Source organism: Homo sapiens, chromosome 1, assembly GCF_000001405.40.
Source record: "Homo sapiens chromosome 1, GRCh38.p14 Primary Assembly".
NCBI classification, from domain to species: domain Eukaryota; kingdom Metazoa; phylum Chordata; class Mammalia; order Primates; family Hominidae; genus Homo; species Homo sapiens.
The window spans coordinates 40,655,648-40,677,901 of record NC_000001.11 but is presented as its reverse complement, the minus strand read 5'-3'; the positions used below and the strand labels follow the sequence as shown (position 1 = coordinate 40,677,901).

At 49.7% G+C, this 22,254-nt stretch overlaps 1 protein-coding gene and 1 long non-coding RNA gene across 6 annotated transcripts in view, besides 4 other annotated features; one reads left to right on the top strand and one right to left on the bottom strand.

Annotated features, from left to right (window-relative positions):
* The window catches only part of RIMS3 (regulating synaptic membrane exocytosis 3), a 71,387-nt gene that overhangs the window by 14,165 nt on the left and 34,968 nt on the right, over positions 1-22,254 (top strand). Inside the window, exons 3-4 of one of the 3 annotated variants that reach the window (XM_047435184.1) lie at positions 4,444-4,586; positions 8,295-8,475. The exons of 1 other annotated variant lie outside the window; for it this stretch is intronic. The gene's annotated coding sequence lies outside the window, so the exon portion shown is untranslated. Of the gene's footprint in view, positions 1-4,443; positions 4,587-8,294; positions 8,476-12,219; positions 12,509-22,254 lie in introns of those variants that run through there. One more of the 3 variants, NM_014747.3, reaches the window with a different exon arrangement.
* Positions 8,732-8,781: an enhancer, noted in NCBI's record as "active region_849". NCBI's record gives its function as "activates an Ori minimal core promoter by ATAC-STARR-seq in GM12878 lymphoblastoid cells {active_cell/tissue: GM12878}" and the evidence as "EXISTENCE:reporter gene assay evidence [ECO:0000049][PMID:35858748]".
* Positions 8,842-8,991: an enhancer, noted in NCBI's record as "active region_848". NCBI's record gives its function as "activates an Ori minimal core promoter by ATAC-STARR-seq in GM12878 lymphoblastoid cells {active_cell/tissue: GM12878}" and the evidence as "EXISTENCE:reporter gene assay evidence [ECO:0000049][PMID:35858748]".
* On the bottom strand, positions 10,226-19,869 carry LOC105378675 (uncharacterized). Of its 3 annotated transcripts, none has more exons than XR_947238.3 (2): positions 17,851-19,869; positions 10,226-11,914 (listed from the first exon to the last, which is right to left on the bottom strand). It is a non-coding gene; the product is annotated as an uncharacterized LOC105378675 (long non-coding RNA). The 3 variants fall into 3 exon arrangements; XR_947237.3 differs by having other exon boundaries at positions 17,876-19,869; XR_007066023.1 differs by having other exon boundaries at positions 18,043-19,869.
* Positions 12,075-12,504: a silencer, noted in NCBI's record as "silent region_731". NCBI's record gives its function as "represses an Ori minimal core promoter by ATAC-STARR-seq in GM12878 lymphoblastoid cells {active_cell/tissue: GM12878}" and the evidence as "EXISTENCE:reporter gene assay evidence [ECO:0000049][PMID:35858748]".
* Positions 13,952-14,609: an enhancer, noted in NCBI's record as "H3K27ac-H3K4me1 hESC enhancer chr1:41128965-41129622 (GRCh37/hg19 assembly coordinates)". NCBI's record gives its function as "activates a minimal SCP1, AML or CMV promoter by ChIP-STARR-seq in naive H9 embryonic stem cells {active_cell/tissue: H9 hESC(naive)}" and the evidence as "EXISTENCE:reporter gene assay evidence [ECO:0000049][PMID:30033119]".

The following is a 22,254-nucleotide window of genomic DNA, read 5'->3' as shown; positions in this document are numbered from 1 at the left end:
CTGTAGAGGGTACAGGTTAAGATTATGAATGATCCCTGCAGGCACCAAAGGGGCATACATGTCAAGAACACGACTTTTCTTCAAGGTCCCTTGCCTTGGCTAGCAGTGTGCAAAATAGGGTTGGGCAGGTCTTGAGAAAATGACTATAAACATTAAGTGTGATCCTTTTTTTTTAATTAATTATTTATTTATTTATTATTTTTTGAGATGTAATCTCGCTCTGTCACCCAGGCTGGAGTGCAGTGGTGTGATCTCAGCTCACTGCAAGCTCCGCCTCCTGGGTTCACGCCATTCTCCTGCCTCAGCCTCCCAAGTAGCTGGGACTACGGGCGCCCGCCACCATGCCTGGCTAATTTTTTGTATTTTTAGTGAAGACGGGGTTTCACCGTGTTAGCCAGGATGGTCTCGATCTCCTGACCTCGTGATCCGCCTGCCTTGGCCTCCCAAAGTGCTGGGATTACAGGCATGAGCCACCGCACCCGGCCAAGTGTGATCCTTGATTGTAAGCCTTATAGATCCTACTGAGCCATCAACCTGCTTTGTGACCTTGGGCAAGTCACTTAATCAAGTTCAATCTCAATATTTCCACCTTATATTAGGCCGGCACGGTGGCTCACACCTGTAATCCCAGCACTCTGGGAGGCTGAGGCGGGCAGATCACCTGAGGTCAGGAGTTCGAGACCAGCCTGGCCAACATGGTGAAACCCCATTTCTACTAAAAATAATTTTTAAAAAATTAGCTGGGCATGGTGGTGCACACCTGTGATCCCAGCTATTCAGGTTGTTGAGGCAGGAAAATCACTTGAACCTGGGAGGCAGAGGTTGCAGTGAGCTGAGATTGCACCACTGCACTCCAGCCTGGGTGACAGAGAGAGACTCTATCTCAAAAAAAAAAAAAAATTCCACCTGTTTTTAAAAAAGGCATAGGAATAATTTATTTTACATTATTTGAAAATAAATTGTCCTAAGGGGGTAGAGGGAATGGGAGAAGTGATAGATATTATCCAGGTATTATCCTCTGCCTCTCCTTCTTGTCCATCCTGCCTGAGTTTTTTTCATCAAGTAAGATGATAAGTGTTAAAATGCTCTGAAAAGTGCAAAACACCATACAAAAGCAAGGGAGTATTATTATCAACATAGTTGTTAGCTTAGGAGGATGAAGGCAGGGCACAGGCTCAGAGCCAAACAGCTGGAAGGCAGGAAATCTTAATACCAAAGAAGGAAACTTTTTTTGTTCAAATTCTTCCTGGAGTGGCACTTTTTTTTAGAGCAGATTTGGCACTGAAATCCTCTGAAATGCTGAAGTGGGTCCAGAAAAGTATTAAGGGGGTACGTAGGGCATTCAGGAGCCAAAAGACACTGGAGAAACACCAGCCCTGGTTCCTCAGTTCCTTTGTGATCCAACAAAAGATACAATCGAAGGAGGAGTCGAATTGTATCAGCGGGTCTCAGGTTCAAAGCCAGGTGGGTGTTGGATCCTCTAACAGGCTCTTTAACCAGCCACCACGCTATTTTGGGAGCCAGGATGTCAGGGGCACTCTGTAACTAATACTGAACTCAGGTGCCAACAACCTAAAAACCATCCCCTCTACACAGTGTTCAGAAAGAACACTGACCTGGAGAGGACTTTAGAGACAATCTAGTCAGACCGAGGCTCAGAGAGGGGCAGGGACTTGCCAAGATAACACAGTAGAGTCAGGCTCATTGGGCTGCAGAAGCCCACCCAATTTAGCTCAAGTACAAAGGAGTTTCTTGTAAAGACTGGAACTGAAAGGCAGGATGAAGGATAGAGGTCTAGGACTCACTGGTCTATTTATTCTCTATCTTCTCACCACTCCTCATCACTGGATAGGATTGCTCCTTCCCCCTCTACCTACAGTCAGGCTTCTGCCTTCTCTTGGTCTCTGATCCTACTTCTCTGGGCCTGCACATGGCTTTCCTGGCCAAGACCTACTTGTCTATGACTTTTTTTTTTTGACAGGGTCTTGCTCTGTCACCCAGGCTGGAGTACAGTGCCACGATCATCACTCACTGCAACCTCTGCATCCTGGGCTCAAACAATCTTCCTGCCTCAGCCTCCCAAGTAGCTGGGACTACAGGCATGTGTCACTATGCCTGGCTAATTTTTTTTTTTTTTTTTTTTGAGATGGAGTTTCACTCTTGTTTCCCAGGCTGGAGTGCAATGGCACGATCTCAGCTCACCGCAACCTCCGCCTCCCAGGTTCAAGTGATTCTCCTGCCTCAGCCTCCTGAGTAGCTGAGATTACAGGTGTGTACCACCACGACTGGCTAATTTTTGTATTTTTAGTAGAGACAGGGTTTCACCATGTTTGCCAGGCTGGTCTCGAACTCCTGACCTTAGGTGATCCTCCTGTCTCAACCTCCCAAAGTGCTGGGATTACAGGCATGAGCCACCGTACCCAGCCTAATTTTTATATTTTTTGTAGAGACAGGGCTTTGCCATGTTGCTTAGGCTGGTCATGAATTCCTGGACTCAAGTGATCCACTTGCCTCAGCCTCCCAACCGGTTGGAATTACAGGCATGAGCCACCATACCTGGCTGTCTCTGACTTCTCTACTTCAACTCCTTCTGCCACCTGACAATTTCTTTCCTTTTTTTTTTTTCCTGAGACAGGGTCTCACTCTATCACCCAGGCTGTAGTGCAGTGGCATGGCACGATCTTGGCTCACTGCCACCTCTGCCTCCCAGGCTCAAATGATCCTCCCACCTCAGCCTCCAAAGTAGCTGAGAATACAGGCATGCACCACCATGCTTGGCTAATTAAAAAAAATTTTTTTTCCTTTCGTAGAGACAAAGTCTCACTGTTGTCCAGGCTGGTCTTGAGCTCCTGGGCTTAACTGATCCTCCCACCTTGACCTCTCGAAGTTCTGGGGTTTTGTGTGTGAGGCGCCATGCCTGGGACAACAATGTCTTTCTCTTCCTTGGTTCAATAAAGCCTCGAATCAGCCCATCTTAGATTGTTGTGCTAGGTTGTCTTAGTTCATTTTGTGCTGCTATATCAGAATATCTGAAACTAGGTAATTTATAAGGTATAGAAATATATTTCTTACAGCTCTAAAGCCTGGTAAGTCTAAGGTTTAGGGGTGCACACCTGGCAAGGGCCTTCTTGCTGTGTATTCCATGGCAGCAGGTGAAGGGCAAGAGAGCAAGACAGCATGAGAGGGACAGAGAGAAGGGGAGAGAGAAAGAGAGAGAGAAGAAGAAATGGGGTTGAATGCATCCTTTTATCAGGAACCCACTCCCTCAATATCGTCATTAATTTATTTATGATGGCAGAGTCCCCATGACCTAATCACCTCCTGAAGGTCCCTCCTCTCAACACTGTTGCCTTGGGGATTAAGTTTCCAGCACATGAACCTTGGGGAACACATTCACACCATAGTATACACCATTGGTCAGAGGACAGCAGCTAATATATTAAATGGTGACCCTTGACTCCGGTGCTGGCCCTATCTGCTCAAGTCTAGAGGCTGGAGGGGCCAGGTGGTTTAAAGCGTGGCCCCAGCAGGGTTTGTGGTCTGGGCAGCTTTTCCTTAAAGTGAATGTGAGTGAGGCAGAAACTGTACCATCACTAGGACCATGTGATTGGAGCTCAGGATTCCAGATTTCCTGCCCAGAACATTTCCCATGAAATTGTCATTTCTTTATTCAGCAGACATGTCGTAATGCTTGTTAAATGTCAATTATGAATATCTTCTTCCTCCTCCTCTTCTTCCTTCTTGCCCCCAGAAGCTTATGATATAATGAAGATAAAGGCAGGAAAATAATTAGAAAACATGAGCACTTTAGAAGAAGTATAAACAATAACCACTTACTGTAAGCGGTAGCTACTGTTATTGTTTATGCATCTTCTAAAGTGTTCATTTATTCTCATTATTTTCTTGTCTTTATCTTTATTATATCATGTATCTGACTGGTACGTATACCAGTCACTGCTGATCACTTTACATATGTTTTCTCATTTAATCTTTACAACTCCCCTGTGATGCCAGCACCACATTTCACACATGTGGAAGGAAACAGGCTCAGAGAGTGATCCACAGATAATAAACAGCACAGCAGGGCTCTGATGCTAAAGCCTGTTCTGTTAACCACTGTGCAGTCTTCACCATGCTGTTAGAGCACAGGGGACCATCTTGGCCTAGGTAGAAGGACAGGGACGACTGGAGAAAGCAGTGGACTTCCAGGAGGAGGTGACATCTGAGCTCATCATGAGCAAGCTTTCCTCAGTCAAGTGTTGGCAAGGCTCACTGTAAACAGAGGAAGCCACATGTGGGAATAGCAAGATGCCAGCAGAGTACAGGGAAAAGCTAGAGTGGGGGTGTGAGTGGGAAGAGGGCCAGGAGCACATTGCACGACCCATGAGTGAGCGCCTCCCTACTTCTGTACCCTCGGTCCCTTTGCCCTGACCCTATTCCTAGCCCTGGCGGAGAATGTGAAGATGAGGCCAGAGGGAACATTGAGAAGAAGGATCTCAGAGAAGAAGGAAAATTCAGCAGAACCTAGGAAGTGCAACTGCTATTGCCTGGGCCTTTGTTCCTGGAATGGACTCTGAGAGTGCATGGTAAAGTCTAAAGTGAAAAATTCAAGAGGAGGGAGCTTTCTTTTACCTGACTTTTGGGTCTTAATCTTAGTTGTTACTTCCTTTAGGAAACATTCCTTGGTCTAACAAGCCTGAGACCCTGAGATGCTTTTTTTTTTGAGATGGAGCCTTGCTGTGTCTCCAGGCTGGAGTGCAGTGGTGCATTCTTGGCTCACTGCAACCTCCGCCTCCCAGTTTCAAGCAATTCTCTTGCTTCAGCCTCCCAAGTGGCTGGGATTACAGGCACCTGCCACCACGCTCCGCTAATTTTTGTATTTTTAGTAGAGACAGGTTTTCACCATGTTGGTCAGATTGGTCTTGAACTCCTGACCTCAAGCAATCCACCTGCCTTGGCCTTCCACAGTGCCAGGATTACAGGCATAATCACAGCCTGTAATCCACCATGCCCGGCCTTTTTTTTTTTTTTTTCTCCAGAGATGGGGTCTTACCCTGTCACCTAGGCTGGAGTGCAGTGATACAATCAGTTTACTGTAGCCTTGAACTCCTGGACTCAAGCAGTCTTCTGCCTCAGCCTCCTGAGTAGCTGAAATTACAAATGTCAGCCACCACACTGGTTTGGCGGCTAGGTCTTATTTACCCTTCCACCCCCAATAGAGCATGTGGCTCAGAGTAGCTGCTCAGTAAAAGACTGATGAATGAATAACAAATAGCCTCCAAGGAGCTTCTGCCAAGTCTTTCAGACCACATCGATTTTCTCTCTGTCTCTGGAGTCCTACTGACCTTAACACTTGGAATCCTATGCGTGTTTGAACCAGAAGAAACCTTAAAAATCATCTAGCGGCCAGGCACGGTGGCTCACGCCTGTAATCCCAGCACTTTAGGAGGCCGAGGCAGGTGGATCACGAGGTCAGGAGATCGAGACCATCTTGGCTAACACGGTGAAACCCCGTCTCTACTAAAAATACAAAAAATTAGCTGGGCGTGGTGGCGGGCACCTGTAGTCCCAGCTACTCAGGAGGCTGAGGCAGGAGAATGGTGTGAACCCGGGAGGCGGAGCTTGCAGTGAGCCGAGATAGCACCACTGCAGTCCGGCCTGGGTGAAAGAGCGAGACTCCGTCTCAAAAAAAAAAAAAAAAAAAAAATCATCTAGCTATCTCCTACCTCTACCATCTCAAAGATGGGGTGATTGAGGTGATCACTTATTTGCCAACTGTATTAGTCTGTTCTTGCATTGCTATAAGGAAATACCTGAGACTGGGTAATTTATAAAGAAAAGGGAGGCTGGGCACGGTGGCTCATGCCTGTAATCTCAGCACTTTGGGAGGCTGAGGTGGGCAGATCACTTGAGATCAGGAGTTCGAGACCAGCCTGGGCAACATGGTAAAACCCTGTCTCTACCAAAAATAATTAGCTGGGCATGGTGGTACATGCCTGTAGTCACAGCTACTTGGGAGACTGAGGTAGGAGAATCCCTTGAACCTGGGAGGTGGAGGTTGCAGTGAGCTGAGATCACGCCACTGCACTCCAGCCTAAGCCTAGGTGACAGAGTGAGACTCCATCAAAAAAAAAAAAAAAAAAAGAAAAGAAAGGAAAGGGGTTTAATTGGCTCAGAGTTCCACAGGCTGTACAGGAAGCATGATACTAGCATCTGCTTGCCTTCTGGGGAAGCCTCAGGAAGCTTCCAATCATGGCTGAAGGCAAAGGGGGAGCCAGCGCGTCTTACATGGCAGGAGCAGGAGCAAGACAGAGTGGTCGGGTGGTGCCACACACTTTTAAACAACTGGATCTCATGAGAACTCACTCACTATAATGAGAAGAGCACCAAGGGGATGGTGCTAAACCATTCATGAGAAACCACCCCTAGTATAATCATCTCCCACCAGGCCCCACCTCCAACACTGGGGATTACAAATTTGACATGAGATTTAGGTGGGAACACAGATCCAAACCATATCACCAACAATCTTAGTTTTGTATCTCCAGCCACAGTTTCTCTTCTGAACTCCACAGTGAATCAGCTGCCTATGCAGCCCTCATCTGGGATGTCCCACAGTGTGTGCATCTAAACACATCCAGAATCAGCATCCCCCCCAAGGCCTAGGCATCATTCAGGCTTCCCTGTCTTGGTGAAGAACATCACCACCCAACCAGTTGTAGGGACCACCTACCTCCTACAGCCTCCCACTACCAATAAAACAGCAAGTCCAGCAGTGTCTACTACCTAAACCACAAAATCTCTCCAATTTCCCTCTGCCTCCCTAGCCCAAATCCCCATAGCTCTCAATGGACCCCTGCAAAAGTCTCATTAGTTTCCCCAAATCTGCTCTTTCTTTGTACTAATCCATGCTCCTCATTGCAGCTGGAGTGACATTTAAAAAATGCTACTTTCTCCTTTAACTCCTTTGCTGAAAGATTTCCAATATCTCTCCACTTAAAAAAATATATATTATTAAGTTATTGGCCAGGCGCAGTGGCTCACTCCTGTAATCCCAGCACTTTGGGAGGCTGAGGTGGGTGGATCAGGATTCAAGACTAGCCTGGCCAATATGGTGAAACCCCATCTCTACAAAAAACACAAAAATTAGCCAGGCGTAGTGGCACATGCCTGTAATCCCAGCTACCCAGGAGGCTGAGGCAGAAGAATTGCTTCAACCTGGGAGGCGGAGATTGCAGTGAGCAGAGATCACGCCACTGCCTCCTGGGTAACAGAGTGAGACTCCATCTCAAATATATATATATATATATATATATATATATATATAAAATTATAACTAACACTTATGGAAAATTTATATCCTAAGGTCTGTTCTAAGAACTTTACACATATTAACTCATTTAATCCTCATAACTCTAAATATTCCCATTATACAGACAAGGAAACAGAAACTCAGAGAAGCAACTTCAGGGCCTTTGTGTAAGCTCTTACCCATCCTTGGCTTGTTGATCTGGCTGACTGCTATTCAAGCTTCAGATGGGATGCCTTGGGGAGCATTCAAAGATCTCCCTGTCTAGGCCAGTCCCTCCCATAGCATCTAACCCAGTTTTTATTATACAATTATTTAGGGGGTGATTTGGTTCATGTCTGTCACCCCCATAGGCTTTAAATTCCATGTTTTGCTCATAATTATATCTTGAATATTCAACATATAATAAATACTTGATATTTGTTGAATGAATCAATGAAAAGCATTTTCAGTAAGAGAGGGGATGTGGTCAGATTTGTTTTAGAAGGATTTCTCTTGTGTAAAAGTTTGAAGGTGGTGAGACCAAGTCACCAACAGCAGCTGAATTCAGGAGTGACAGGAAGGCAGGCTGGACTAGAGGAGAGGCAAGAGGGATGGAGAGAAGTGGGTGAACCTAGGAAGTATTTAGGAAGCAAACTGGATGGCTCTGATAATTAAGTGGATAGAAGTGAGGAAGAGGAAGGAATCAGGAGGGACTCCCAAGTTTCTGAGAGCACCTTGAACTGGGGTGAGAAAGCATCTGCAAAGGAGGCAGGTTGGGTTGGCAGAGCAGGCTGTCCCTAGACCCAAGCAACTGAAACATGGAAAAGCTTTCAAAAAAATCTTTGCACCCAAACTCCTTAGCTTGGTCCTGGTGTACTTTATTCAGCCCCATCTGTGGTCTACCCCCAAACTCAGAGCATATAGATCACTGCTCCTCCCCCAAGCCCCACTTGTCATCCAGCCCACCTTAGTAAGTGCCACCCCACTACTCTCTCTCCACAAGATGCAGCTTGGAGGACGTCTCCTCTGGGATCCCTCCCCACTGCCCCCACCGCTTCCTGGGGTGAATGAGTCCTCTGTAGCCATCAGGATTCGCTGTATCAGGAGTGTTCCTCTGCTGTCACCTCTGATGACTATTTTCCTCAATTCAGAATCCCCAGCACCTGCAAAAGGCCTGGATAAAGGTAAACCTCAAAAAAGTTTGTTTTATTGAATTTTCCCAAAGGTTTGGCTTTATTACATTAAGAGCTGAGGCCAGGAATGTGGCAGTAAATTCTGGTGCCACCACTTAGAAAGACAAGTCACTTTTTTCAAGCCTCAGTTTCCGTCCATCAAATGGAGATAAGAATACAGTGCACCTACCTCGAAGAGCTGTTTTGAGGGGAAAATGAAATATGCTAGGTTAAGTGTTTAACACAATGCCTGGAACATGGTTAGTTCCCTCAAAAAATTAGCTGTTATTTATTTATTTTTAAATTCTCGCCTTGATGCTCAGAAGGGGCTGAGCAGGAACAGAGGATTGCAGTTCTTAGGATGGCCACGCGAGGGAAGTGGTGAGCAGCCTCCAGGAGGACTTCGGCTCGGCTGTGCCAAGGCACCTGCTGAGGACCCAGATGGCCCGCCTGGGGTTTCCGGGACTTCCCGGCCCCTAAACATGTGGGCGCTGGCCAGAGCGCCGCAGGAGAAGCCTCTGCCAGGTGCTCGGTCTCGACTCTCACAGCCCCAGCCATCCCTCCTGCTCGTCCCCGTCTCGGCTTGGAGGGGCTGGCGGGCAGGAGGGGACAGGGTAGGGGGCAACCAGGATATATCCCCTCCGTTTTGTCATTTGTCTTTCAAACTGACTTATGGCCATTTCTTCTGTATAGAAGCCTTGTAGTCAAACATTTCCATGTTTTCTCTTATGGCTTCTAGGTTTCATCATGCTTAGAAAGTCTTTTCCATCTCCAAGATTATTAAAATATTCACTCATGTCTTTTTTCTGATACATTATGGTGTTAAATATGTGGTCCACCTGGAATTTATTTCAGTGTCGAATAAGGGCACAGCTTTTTGTAATTTCCCCAAAAGACTTGCTGGTTATTCCACCCATTTGATCTCCGCCACCAACCCCCCCCCCCCCGCCCACAACCCCCTACCAACTCCGCCCCCCATTTGTCTGAAGTGCTGTCTTTTATTCATTCATTCATTTAGAGACAAGGTCTTGCTCTGTTGCCCAGGCTGGAGTGCAGTGGCGTGATCACAGCTCACTGCAGCCTTGACCTCCCAGGCTCAGGTAATCCTCCCACTTCAGCCTCCCTGGTAGCTGGGACTACAGGTGTGTGCAATCATGCCCAGATAAATTTTTTTTTTTTTTTTTTTTTTGAGACAGAGTCTTGCTCTGTTACCAGGCTGGAGTGCAGTGGTGCGATCTCAGTTCACTGCAACCTCCGCCTCCTGGGTTCAAGCGATTCTCCTGCCTCAGTCTCCCAAGTAGTTGGGACTACAGGTGCATGCCACCACACCCAGCTAATTTTTGTATTTTTAGTTGAGACAGGGTTTCACCATGTTGGCTAGGATGGTCTCAATCTCTTGATCTTGTGATCCGCCTGCCTCGGCCTCCCAAAGTGCTGGGATTACAGGTGTGAGCCACCGCCCCCGGCCACAAGTTTTGTATTTTTTTATAGAGACAAAGTTTTGCCATGTTGCCCAGGCTAGTCTCAAGTGATCTGCCCGCCTCAACCTCCCAAAGTTTTGGGATTACTGGCATGAGCCACTGTGCCGGGCCTGAAGTGCTATCTTTATCATACATTGAATTCCCTTGTGGGGCTGGATCCATTTCCATACTCCATTTTGTTCCACAGATCGGTCTAGTCCTGCTTCAATACCATACTGCTTTAAATACATTGACTTTATAGTATGTTTTAGTATCGGGTAAGACAAATCCCTTTTCATTACTTTTCTTCCTGGACTTTTTATTCCTGTATGTTTATTCTTCTATATACACTTAAGAATCAACCCCCTCTCCACCCACCTCCCATCCAGTCCTTCTGGTAACCAATATAGAACTTTGAAGATACTGAAATTATATGCAAAATATACATTGCACATCTCCAGAGAGATAGTGCTAAGTTTTCATCAGATGTGCAAAGGGAACCCCTGGTTTACCTGTCTCTGTGAAAGGGGCCAGGGAGGAGCACACAGGAAGCCTGATTCCTCTCTGTGCTCCCACCCCTCACCTCCACCCTCGTTCCAGGTCCTGCCCTGGCCTCCATCCCACCTCCCCTAATCTAGTCCCCCTTGCTGCTCCAGAGTAACCCATTCTACCACCCAGGCCCTAGTCCAGGCCTAGGCCTGAGGTAGAATAGCTGATAACAAAGCTTTAATTAATATGTAAATATAATCAGGAGCCCCAGCTCCACCTCTGACCAGCTATGGAACGCACTTTGAGGCTTTTCACATTGTAGGGCCTCAGTTTATGCTTCTCACAGACCAGGTGAGAAGGGAAGGCGTAGGATGACTATGCCTCCTAGCAATCCCCAGGAGGATCCTTTAATCCCAATAATTTTCCTTTTTCTCCCCACCTTCCCACTCCCCATTTACTTTTTTTTGAGACAGAGTTCCCCCTGTCACTCAGGCTGGAGTGCAGTGGTGCGACCTCGGCTCACTGCAACCTCCGCCTCCTGGGTTCAAGTGATTCTCGTACCTCAGCCTCCCGAGTAGCTGGGACTATAGTTGTGTGCCACCACACCTGGCTAATTTTTGTATTTTTAGTAGAGATGGGGTTTCACCATGTTGGCCAGGTTGATCTCGAACTCCCAGCCTCAAGCAATCCACCCACCTTGGCCTCCCAAAACACTGGTACAGGCATGAGCCACCGCACCCAGCTCCCATTTACATTTTAATTCATGCCCTCAGCAGGGAGACTACTGGTTTTACATGCCTCCAGCAAATATTAATTATTCTGTCCTCTCTGTCAGTGGGTGGAATTCAAAACACTGGAGCCCAAGAGTGGAACTGACCAGTCCTAAGCAAGGTTAAATATACAAGTTGGGGCAGGCACGACCCTAGGAAAGACTTCATACAGTATCCTCCCGGGCTGCAGAAGAACCCAGGACTCCAGGAGTCTATTTGGAAGTTTATATAGGCAGATGCCAGGCCCTAGAACAGAGTTTCTCAACCTCAGAAACCTGCTGACATTTCGGGCCTGACAATTCTCTGGCGCAGGGGCTGTCCTGTGCATTGAAGGCGTGTAGCAGCATCCCTGGTCTCTTCTCATGAGACGCCAGTAGCAACCTCCTCGTTGGGAAAACCAAAAATGTCTCCAGACATGGTCGAATGTTCCCTGGGGGGCAAAATCGCCCCAAGTTTAAAACCATTGCTCTAGAAGTAGAGAGCGCAGGGGAAGCAGGTTAACTTGGGCTTCAGGGCCGGCCACTCTACTTCCTTCTGTCTGAAAGGGACATTATAAAGTCTTTCTCTTCATACCAGGCACTTGGGCAAGTCTTTTCTCCTATCTGAGCTTCAGATTTTCCATCTGTAAAATGGACTTGACGTTTGTAAGTCGTTTCTTCTCTTACCATCTGACGTTCCTGGAACTGCTTCAGGGCAGGGCAGGGCAGGGGGCGCCGTGGTGCCTGTGAGGTCCTGGGAGGTGCCCCAAAGAAAAGGAAGGATGAGAAAGAACAGATAGGGTAGGTGGTGGAGAGGGGAGGCCGGGCAGGAGGCAAGAGAGTCCTAGGGACACGGAGAGGAATGAGGCTTCCCCAGACCCCGCTTCTTGGAAGCCTCATTAATGTAGGTCCCCCAACCACAACCCGGCAAGCCAAACTCCCCGGATTCCCCTAGGCCCCGCCCACCACCAAGGTCCGGCCCACTGGCCCCGCCCATCCACGCGGCCCCGCCCCCGGCAGGCCCCGCCTCCCCTTCGCCTCCCGCCGGCCCAAGCTTGGGCTTTGCACCCGGCGGCGACTGAAAACGGTGGCTGCTGCGGAGCCGGCAGCGCAGGCGGGCGGAGCGGAGCTGCCCCCGTGGTGGCGGGCGATGCCCCCGTGAGCCTCCCTCGCCGCCCCTCCCCGCCCCGCGTGCCTATCCACTCGGAGTCCGCGCCAGCCTGGGGCCGGGCCGCGCCTACTGCCGGGTTCGCGGGGCGGGGTCCCGGGGCAGCACCTGCCCCGCCTTGCGGAGCCGCCTCGGCCTGTGGAGGCCCCCTCCCTGTCTGGACCCCGGCCCCACCTCCGGGTAAGTCAGCAGGCCTTGCTCGCCTGGGAGTGGACGTGGGGAGGGGGCTGCAGAGGTCTGGAGGACCACGGGGGGAGGGGGGCTCTGGCCATGAAGCGCAACGTAGGTATGTGAGTGTGCAGGGGCGGGGGTGGGGGGATGAACACAGGGTGTGAGAGGGCTCTGGGGAGGGGACTAAGGGATGAGAGAGGGACGTGGGGTGTTTGGGGAAGCCTGGAAAATGGGGAAGGGGGCCCAGAGTCTTGAGTTCTTTGCTGATGCTCAGAGCTCCTGGGGCCCTGGTCTTCAACAGCATTGCCTGGCATGGCATTTTTGGAAAGTGCTTAAAATCCCTCCTGGAAAGGGAGCTGGAAGGCAGCCTGCTTTTCTCCCTTCTGCCTGTGCCCTGGTTGAGAAGCAGCCACTTTTTCCTCAACGTGACACCGTTGTGGTGTCCAGAGGACCCCCTCCACCCCATAAAAGAAAAGGAGTGCTGCTTACTCCAGCCCTGGGGTGGGAAGAGGGGGCTTTGGGAAGCTGGGAATGCAGTTGGTCAGCAGCATGGTGCAGAGCCCAGGGTTCAGGGAGGCTTGGCAGGACCCTTGATGGGCAACTTGGGCATGCTCTCATTCATAGGGAGGAGCTCTTCCCTGACTGGCCGCCTGGGTACCTGGACTCCATGTCCCCATCACCTCTGGACAACTCAGCCCTGAGGAGTGGGTTTCTTCAGTGTCCTGGTCCTGAAGGCTCAGGAAGGATCCTGGAATGGGGTGGGCAATGGCATATCAAGGCTGGAGAACAGGGGGCATTGGCTGGCACTGCCACTTGGGGCCTGTTTCAATGTGGTCCTTCAGGGCTTGGACACCTGGGTGAATATGTGTCCAACCCTAGCCCCAGGGGTGTTATCAGGATGTAGGGAAGAAGGCTGCTGCTCCTTTGGTCCTGTCCTCTATCCATGATGACTTCTTAAGTCTGGGTTCCTTGGGTTTGGGGCCTGAAGTCATGGGAGGAGGATTGGGCCTGGTCAACAAGGGGTTAATGAGCCATCTCCCCCACCCCACCATAGTTGCTGCCAGCCACCAATTAGTCTGTAATCAGGCAGCTGCCAACTGTCCCTGGGGGCATGTGGGTAGCCTAATGGGGCATTCTTGGTTGGGAGGCGGGGTGGGTGGGTTGGCAGGGATGTGCTGGGGAGGTGACCCATGTGCCCTGTGCTTAAACCAAGCACCATGCCCTTTGTTGTTTGTTTAGGGCCCACAGACCCCTTCCCTGCCTTCTGTTCCTGACTGCCTTGCTTAGGGACTTCCAGCCCTGGGGTTCTACACTTATCCGACCCTTTGCAGGGTATGAAGCCCAGAGTTGGTTAAACTTGGCTTCAAACCCAAGCTCTGCCACTTTCTGGCTGTGTGATATTGAGGAAATCACTTCCCCTCTCTGAGACTCTTTCAGTAAAACAAACCCAGCTGCTATGTGGGTAGCAGGAAGGAGTGAGTGAAATGGTGGATTTGAGCTGCGCAGCACAGTGCCTGGCACTCAGGAGGGCTCAGCAGCTAACTGCTGAACTCATGAGCAACCCCTGTGCCAAGTACTTGCTGGGCGGGCGTGCAGGAGCCAGGTGCTGAGGACCCAGCAGGGACCACGGTCCCTTCTCCCAGGGCATGTGGTCTGTGTCACTGTCTTAACTATTCTCTCTCCCTCCCTCCTTGCTCAACGACGCTTCTGGTCTCTGGACTTTAATTGGATTTTACTGCGCAGAACCCAGGCCTAAAGCTGCTACTCTCTGGGCTTCCCAACTTCCTGCCCAGGTGCTGAGCTCTGTGGGGTCTGTCAGGGGTCTGGGTGATGTCTGCAGCTGCAGTAGCAGCTGGCCCTTTAAGGAGGGAAGAAAACAATTATCTGGCCTGGGCATTGCATCAGCTGGAGCCTGGAGGGTCCCTGGGGAGGGGGGAGCAGGCTGGTGGTTGATTTCATTAGTGCCATGTGAGAACTCTCACCTGCCCCACTCCCCAGCCACAACCTTCTCCCCCAGGCAACAGCTGCCTCAGTGCCTCCTCCCACTCCAGGGGCACCACCTTGGAGAGGTCTCTGTGTGTACCCCCCAGTCAATGTCATGGGCCCCAGAAGAGGAGGGAAGTGTCTCTCACATTGGCCTTTTGCTGACTGTGGCACTGTCTCTCCTGTTAGCAATCTGCTGACTTGGGGTGCAGGGTGCGTCTCCTGTACTGGCATTTTGCTGACGATGGGGGTGTTTCTCCCACACTGGCATTTTGTTGACCCAGGGGAGGAGTGACTTCTACACTGTCCTCACTGACAGTGGGGCTGTCTCCTACACTGGTATATCACTGACCTCACAGAAGAGCTTTACCAGCTGGGGTGTGTGTGAACTGAAGGCGGAGGTTAGAAACAAGTGCTCTCTGGTTGGAGGTGAGCTTGCTGGGAATGGTGAGTCACAGGGGTTGTGTGGTTTGGGGCAGAGAAGAGACCAGGCACTTGGGCATCAGACAGACAGGATTCAAATCTAATGCCTTCCGCTTCCAACCTGTTACCACTTCAGGCAGGTGGCCTCAACTACCAAGTCTCAGTCTCCTCTGGAAAATAGGAATAATTTATACCCATACTTCTCCACCCCATCTGGAATGTGGTTAGGGAATTAACTGTAGTAACCAGATGTATAGTACCTAGTCTAGAGCTGGCAGGGGGAGGGTGCATACTGTATGATGGTTCTCTTCCCTTTGCAAGTTTGGGCTTTTCATAGCTTGAGCTCAAGAAGCCTGGACAAGAAAAGGAGGGTCCGGGAGGAGTGAAGAAAAAAGGAGAAAGAATGCCTGGCCCTCTTGCCTCTGTGGCAGAAGGATGCATTCAGTCCACCAGGTACCTCTGATGTATCAGACTCTATGAGCCAGGCGGCCCCTGCCCTCACGGAGGTGACATTCTAGTGGGGACATGACCCAGAGCAGGTAATTACACATGGCATGTGTGTAGAAAGGAGGGACTTGGGCTCTGGAACCTATCACTGAAGTTGCTCTCCTGCAGTCTGTAATCTGGGAAAGGTTCCTGGAGGTGGCGACATCTTAGCTGAGTCATGAAGGGTGCCAAGGAATTGTAGAGGCGAAGAAGGGATGAGGAAGGGGAACTGTGTGTCTGAGGCCCTGTTGATGGTGAGAACAGGCTTGGCGTGGTAGAGGGAGGGCAGTGTGGGCAGGCCCAGGACAGCCTGGCCCGATTTCCTAGTCTAGCAGGATACTAAAGACTTGGGAATTTATCCTCAGGCCAATGGCAACCCCTAAAGGGTTTTAAGCAGAAAAGGCAAGATCAGATTTCCCCAGAATGTTAGGGTCTATGGCCCTCAGGCAGAGCCTTCTTGGGAGTGACTTTTTGCCCTCTCCTACCCTTTTCCCTGTGCAGCAGCCTCGGTCCCAGGGAACCGGTTGTTTATGTGGCTGGCCCCAGGAGGGAGGACAGCCAGTCCCAGTCCCTCCAGCTCCTTCTCTCTGGTCTAAGCTGTATCGTGGCCTTGTTGACAAAGCTCAGCCCTTGGGGCCAGGTTCTCCCAACCTCCCTGGGGAGCCAGAGGGCAAGAGGCAGGGTTTTGCACCAGGCTGCTCTGTGCCCACATCCCAGCTCTGCAGTTCCTGAGCTGGGTAATCTCTGGGAAGGCATACCCGTCTCTGAACTTCTGTGTCCTCAACTATAAAATGGAGTTGATGATATCTCTAGGAAAACGATAAAGTGAAATTCCACATGGAAACCATAAACCCTATCTGGATGTCAGTTGGCATTTTTACTCTGTTGTGTGGGGGCTGACATCAACTCTGGGCCGGGCCCAGGGCTGGCTGGGGGTGGGAGCAGGGCTGGTTTCAAGAGTCAGTGGTCACGCAGGGCCCTGCGCCTAGAAGGACCCCACACTTAATGTTCTGCTGACACCGTCTTAAAATTTTTAGTAACTTTGAACAAGGGGTCCTGCATTTTCATTTAGCACTGGGCTCTGCATATTATATAGCCCCACAAATCGGGTAGGGGTAGGAAGAGGCAGGGAGAGACATGGATCTGCAAATGGTTCCCAAGGATGAGGTGGAGGGCATTACTAACTGTCCCAAGGTGGGTGGGATGTTAATAAGAATAACACTTATTTAGTGCTTACTGTGTGCTAGTTCTCTGCCCATCGCTTTACATGCTCATCTTTAAACAGTCCTATGAGGTAGGTACTATTATCATCTCTGTGGTATAGATGAGGAAACTGAGGTGACCTAGCCAAAGTCGCACAGCTATCAAGTGGCAGAGCTGGGATTCAAAACCAGGTTGTCCAACTGCAGAGCAATGCTTACACCAGGGAAGTCTCCACCTAGGAGGAGCGACCACCTGCCCTGGGTTTGGAGGATAACTTGGAGTTTGCCCAAGAGGAAGAAGTGCAGTGGAGAAGGGAGGACTCTCTCACCTGGGAAGTGTCCAGGCTAAGGGCATGATGCTTGGCCAGGAGATGGGGAGCCAAATCCTGGTGCCTTCTGGGGTTGAGAGAAGGTAACCTTTGCATTTCATGGTCCTGATTTGCCAAGCTCAGAGCCCCTTGTCACTCTGCCCCTAGGTCCTGCTGCTACCATGGCTCCTCAAGTTGCCCCAACCCCTCTTCCCACCTTTTTGCCCCCTCCCTCCCTACCTCCCGGGTAATCTCGTTTACTTCTCTTGATTTTAATGATCTCTTCTGGGTTGAAGATCTGCAGGTCTGGCTGGGTGCGGTGGCTCACACCTCCTCAAAGTGCTGGTAATCCCAGCATTTTGAGAGGCTGGGGCAGGCGGATCACTTGAGCCCAGGAGTTCAAGACCAGCCTGGGCAACATGGCGAAACCCCATCTCTACAAAAAAAATACAAAAATTAGCTGGGCATGGTGGCGCTTGCCTGTATTCCCAGCTGCTTGGGGGGCTGAGGTGGGAGGATCGCTTGAGCCTGAGAAGTTGAAGCTATAGTGAGCCATGTTCATGCCACTGCACTCCAGCTTGGGTGACAAAGCGAGACCCTGTCTCAAAAAAAAAAAAAAAAAGAAGCCCCAACAATCTGCAGGTGTGACTGCTTCCTGGCCCACACTTAGATGTCTCACAATCAGCTTCAGTTCAGGTCCAGACCCAGCTCCTGACTCTCCCACCTGCACCTGCTCTGCCTTTAAGGTCCCCGGTTCATCTCTGGCATCGCCGTCCTCCCACCTGGTCAAGCTAGAAAGCTGAAAGTTCTCCTGGATACGCCCCTCTTCCCGTCCCACACCCCTATAACCAGTCCTCAGCAAGCCCTGTTAGTCCTCCTGAATCTCTGCCTTGAGTCCGTGGACCCTCTCGCTGCCCACCACCCCCTCCAGGCCACCATTGGCTCTCACCTGGGCCACTGTGACAGCTTCCTACCTGGTCTCCTGACATTTGTTCTTGCCCCGCTTTCTTTCATGGTCTTCTTAGGATAAACGTTGGATTGTGTCATTTCCCTGCTTAGGACCCTTCCAAGCCTTCTTGGAATGAAAGCCAGATGCACTGACGCAGTCTCCGAGGCCCTGTGGGATCTGGTCCTTGCCTACCTTTTTGTGTCTTCTTCTGCCACTCTCCCTCAGCTGCAGGACTTCCACACGTGTTGTCCCCAATCCTGGAATGCACGCCCCCTCTTGGGGCCCTGCTAACTCCTACTTATCCTTCAGATAGATACCAGCTCGAACGTCATTTCCGCAGGGAAGCCTAAAAACCAGACAGTAAACAGCACCCTGCTCCAGAGGACCTTGTACTTCTTCATAACATTCAGCACACTCAAATCGCTTTTCCCTCATGTCTATTTCATGCTAGGCTGTGAACTCTGTGGGCTCAGGAATCCGTTTTGCCTCACCCCGGCACATAGTAGGTACACAGTGAGCTGTTAGATGAATGAAGGGACTAGATGAGGAGTGCTGCAGCCTCCTAACTGGTCCTTGCCTCCAGGCCTGCCTTTTCCAGCCCTTTCTCCAAGCAGCCCCAGAACAATCTTTCTAAAACACAGAACTGACCCCGTCACCCCCTGCTACTTAAAATACTTCAATAGCTCCCTGTCACTGACAGGAAAAGGCCTCGGCTTCTTATCATGGTATTCAAAGCCCTTTATGATGTGCGCCTGACTGCCTGTCTTCCCTGCTTCCCCGCCACACTTTGAACTCCAGTCCCTCTAAGACACCAGGCTGTTTTGGGTCTCTGTGCATCTGCACTTGCTGTTCCCTTTGCTTGTAATGCCTCCCCACCCCTACTTTGTCTCCATGGAGAATGTCCTTAATTCTTCAAAATCGGCTCAGCTGCTACCTTCGCTGTGAAGCCTGTGGAGCCCTTCCGCTCCTCCCCAGGCAGAGTTAGCCCACCCTCCCTCTGCCACATCTGTGCAAAGTCTACATCTCTTACTCGCTGTCTCCCACTGCACTGGGCTTCTCCGACGTAGGCACAGTGATTATTTTTTCAGGATTGTTCATCTGCGTACCTCCGGCTCCCAGCTTCTCTCTTGTCTTAATTAGGTCTTTGCTTATATACAGAAACCCACTCAAACCAGCTTCAGTAATAAAGAAGGGCTTATTACAAGGACAGAAGGGATTCCCTGGAACTAAGGGGAAGGAAAACCATTAGCTTCAGGAAGGCGGGACCTGGAGGGCCAAGGGAACTTGAAGCAGCCATTCTCTGCACCCTGCCTTTCTGTATCCACAGACTGGATATCTCTGCCTTTTCAGGCACCAAGCCACCTATAGTTCCTGTATTGTGTCCCTTGGTTTCAGCCACATGGAGAGAGAGAACTTGGGGCTTGGCAGATCCAATCCCAAACTCCCAGGAGAGGATCTGATTGGCTCAGAGTGAGGCAGGTGCCCACCCTGGTCCAGTCATCTGTAGCCTACTGGGAAGGATCAAAGAGACATGCAAACAGGGTTCTCAGTGCCCCGCTCAGAGAAGGGGGATCTTCGTTAGCTTCCAAACACATCTCCTGGAATTCTTAGAGTGCCGATGTGGGTGCAGGCAGTTGGGCCTGAGCCCCAAACTTCCATCTGGACAGCAGCTGGAGAAAAAAGGCCTGGAATTGTGACTTAAAGGAGAGTCTTTTCCTGGGCAGCAGTGCTCAGGACAGGCTCTGAAGAACCTGTCAAATGTCATTCAGAGGCCTGAGGAGAGAGAGGGAGAAGAAAGCCTGAATTTTCTCACCTTGCTTTGGAGTGAGGAGAGAGGGAAGAGGAAGCCAGGAACAGGCAGAAGAGTTTTTCCCCACGAAAATCTTCATCCTCCAAGATGTAACTCTTTTCATCAGTGAAAAACCAAACCATGTCTACCTCACCTTCCCCCTGTCACTCATTCTTGACCTGTATTGATTCTGTTCTTTGTGCTTCCCTGGTAATAAACATTTTTTTTAAGCACTTACTCTGTGCCAGACATTGTGTTCACACATTTCATTTAATCTTCACTTCTATAAGATGGGTACTATTATTATTCCCATTTTATTTTATTTTTTTAAAACATATAAATTTTATTTTATTTTAGAGACAAGGTCTCACTTTGTTGCCCAGGCTGGAGTGCAGTGACTTGAACACAGCTCACTGCAGTCTCAACTTCCTAGGCTCAAATGATCCTCCCAAGAAGTTGGGACTACAGGTGCACACCACCATGCCTGGCTAATTTTTTTTTTTTTTTTTTTTTTTTGAGACATTGTCACATTCTGTCACCCAGGCTGGAGTGCAATGGCTGGGTCACGGCTCACTGCAGCTTTGAACTCCTGGGCTCAGGTAATCCTCCCACCTCAGCCTCCCTGGTAGCTAGGACCACAGGCTCATGCCACCATGCCCAGCTCAGTTTTGTATTTTTTTGTAGAGACAGGGTTTCACCCTGTTGCCCAGATTGGTCTCCAACTCCTGGGCTCAAGCAATCCTCCCATCTTGGCCTCTGAAAGTGCTGGGATTACAGGTGTGATTCACGACACCCAGTCTGTCATCTCATTTTACAGACAAGGAAACTGCAGTTTAGGCATTTACAGGCTAGATTTTAAAGCTCTTCACCTCTCTTAATCTCGGTGATTTGCTGATTTGTCTGCTTGCTGTTTGGGATTGTGAAGGTCTCACGGGCAGATAGCAGGTTACCATCCTGCCTCTTTCCCCACTGCCCAGCAAGGGCTGCCAACTGTGGAACAGATGGATGCAGGTAGAGTAGAAAAGGTGTCTGGGTGGACGTCAAGTCTCTGACGTGTGGATCTCCCCTGTGTAGCTAGCTCTGTGACTATGGACACGTCTCATCCTTTCTGAGCCTCACATTTCTCATTCAGAAACGGGGAAGATAATTCCTGCTCTGAGGCTCATATTAGATGGTGGCCGTTATGACAATTTGTGAATAGGAAAGGACCAAGGAATTTCTAAAAGATTGTTATTACCAGAATAGGCTGTAGCAACAGGGCACTAGCGGGGCACTGTGCCCGAACTCCTGCAAGAGGTGGACAAGCCTAGAGCTTCCCAATATGTGGAGTGGGACCAGGGATGACTTTCAGTGCCATTTCTTAACATTAGCTCACGTAGTGAGAAAGTTGGTTCCCTCTCAACGATATCAAGTCCAAGATTGTCCAAGGGAGAACATGTCAGTGTAGTTTCTAGTGTGTCTTTTTTTTTTTTTTTTTTTGAGACGGAGTTTCGCTCTTGTTGCCCAGGCTGGAGTGCAATGGCGCAATCTCAGCTCACCACAACCTCTGCCTCCTGGGTTCAAGAGATTCTCCTGCCACAGCTTCCCGAGTAGCTGGGATTACAGGCATGCACCACCACGCCCGGCTAATTTTGTATATTTAGTGGAGACGGAGTTTCTCCATGTTGGTCAGGCTGTTCATGAACTCCCGACCTCAGTTGATCCACCTGCCTTGGCCTCCCAAAGTGCTAGGATTACAGGCGTGAGCCACCGCGCCCGGCCTCTAATGTGTCTTTAACAACTTTCCAACACTGGTTGCCCTCCCTTTTTAACAGAGAGCTCTCAGGCTAGGCTCAGAACATTGCCTGGCAACTCCATATAGCTAAAACATAATATCATAACTGTTTTTACTGTGTTTGTTTTATTGTCATTTTCTATTTATTAAAAGTGATACTGGCTTTCCATTTATAGTAATAACATGGTTTCTATTGAAAATAGTTGCATTAAAGTTAAAAGTGTCAATTTATTTTTATCTGTTTGTTTATTTATCGAGACTAGATCTCACTCTGTCGCTCAGGCTGGAGTGTAGAGGCCTGTTCTTGGCTCACCTCAGCCTTGACCTCCTGGACTCAAGTGATCCTCCCACCTCAGCCTCCCAAATAGCTGGGACTATGGGTGTGAGCCACTGCCCCTAGCCAGAGTGTCAATTTAAAGAAAATAAGTAATAAACAGTACAAGAGTCTGTAGATTTGTTTTGTTTGTTTGTTTGTTTTTTGAGACGGAGTCTCTGTCGCCCAGGCTGGAGTGCAGTGGCACGATCTTAGTTCACTGCAGCTTCTGCCTCCTGGGTTCAAGCGATTCTCCTATCTCAGCCTCCCAAGTAGCTGGGATTACAGGTGCGTGCCACCATGCCCGGCTAATTTTTGTATTTTTAGTTTGACCATCCAGACGGGGTTTGACCATATCGGCCAGGCTGGCCTTGAACTCCTGACCTCAAGTGATCTGCCTGCCTGAGACTCCCAAAGTATTGGGATTACAGGCGTGAGCCACCGTGCCCAGCCTAGGAGTCTGTAGATTTGGCAGAAATCATTGAGGTGACACACAGTGTTATGCACTTAATGCAAAATTGGGAAGTG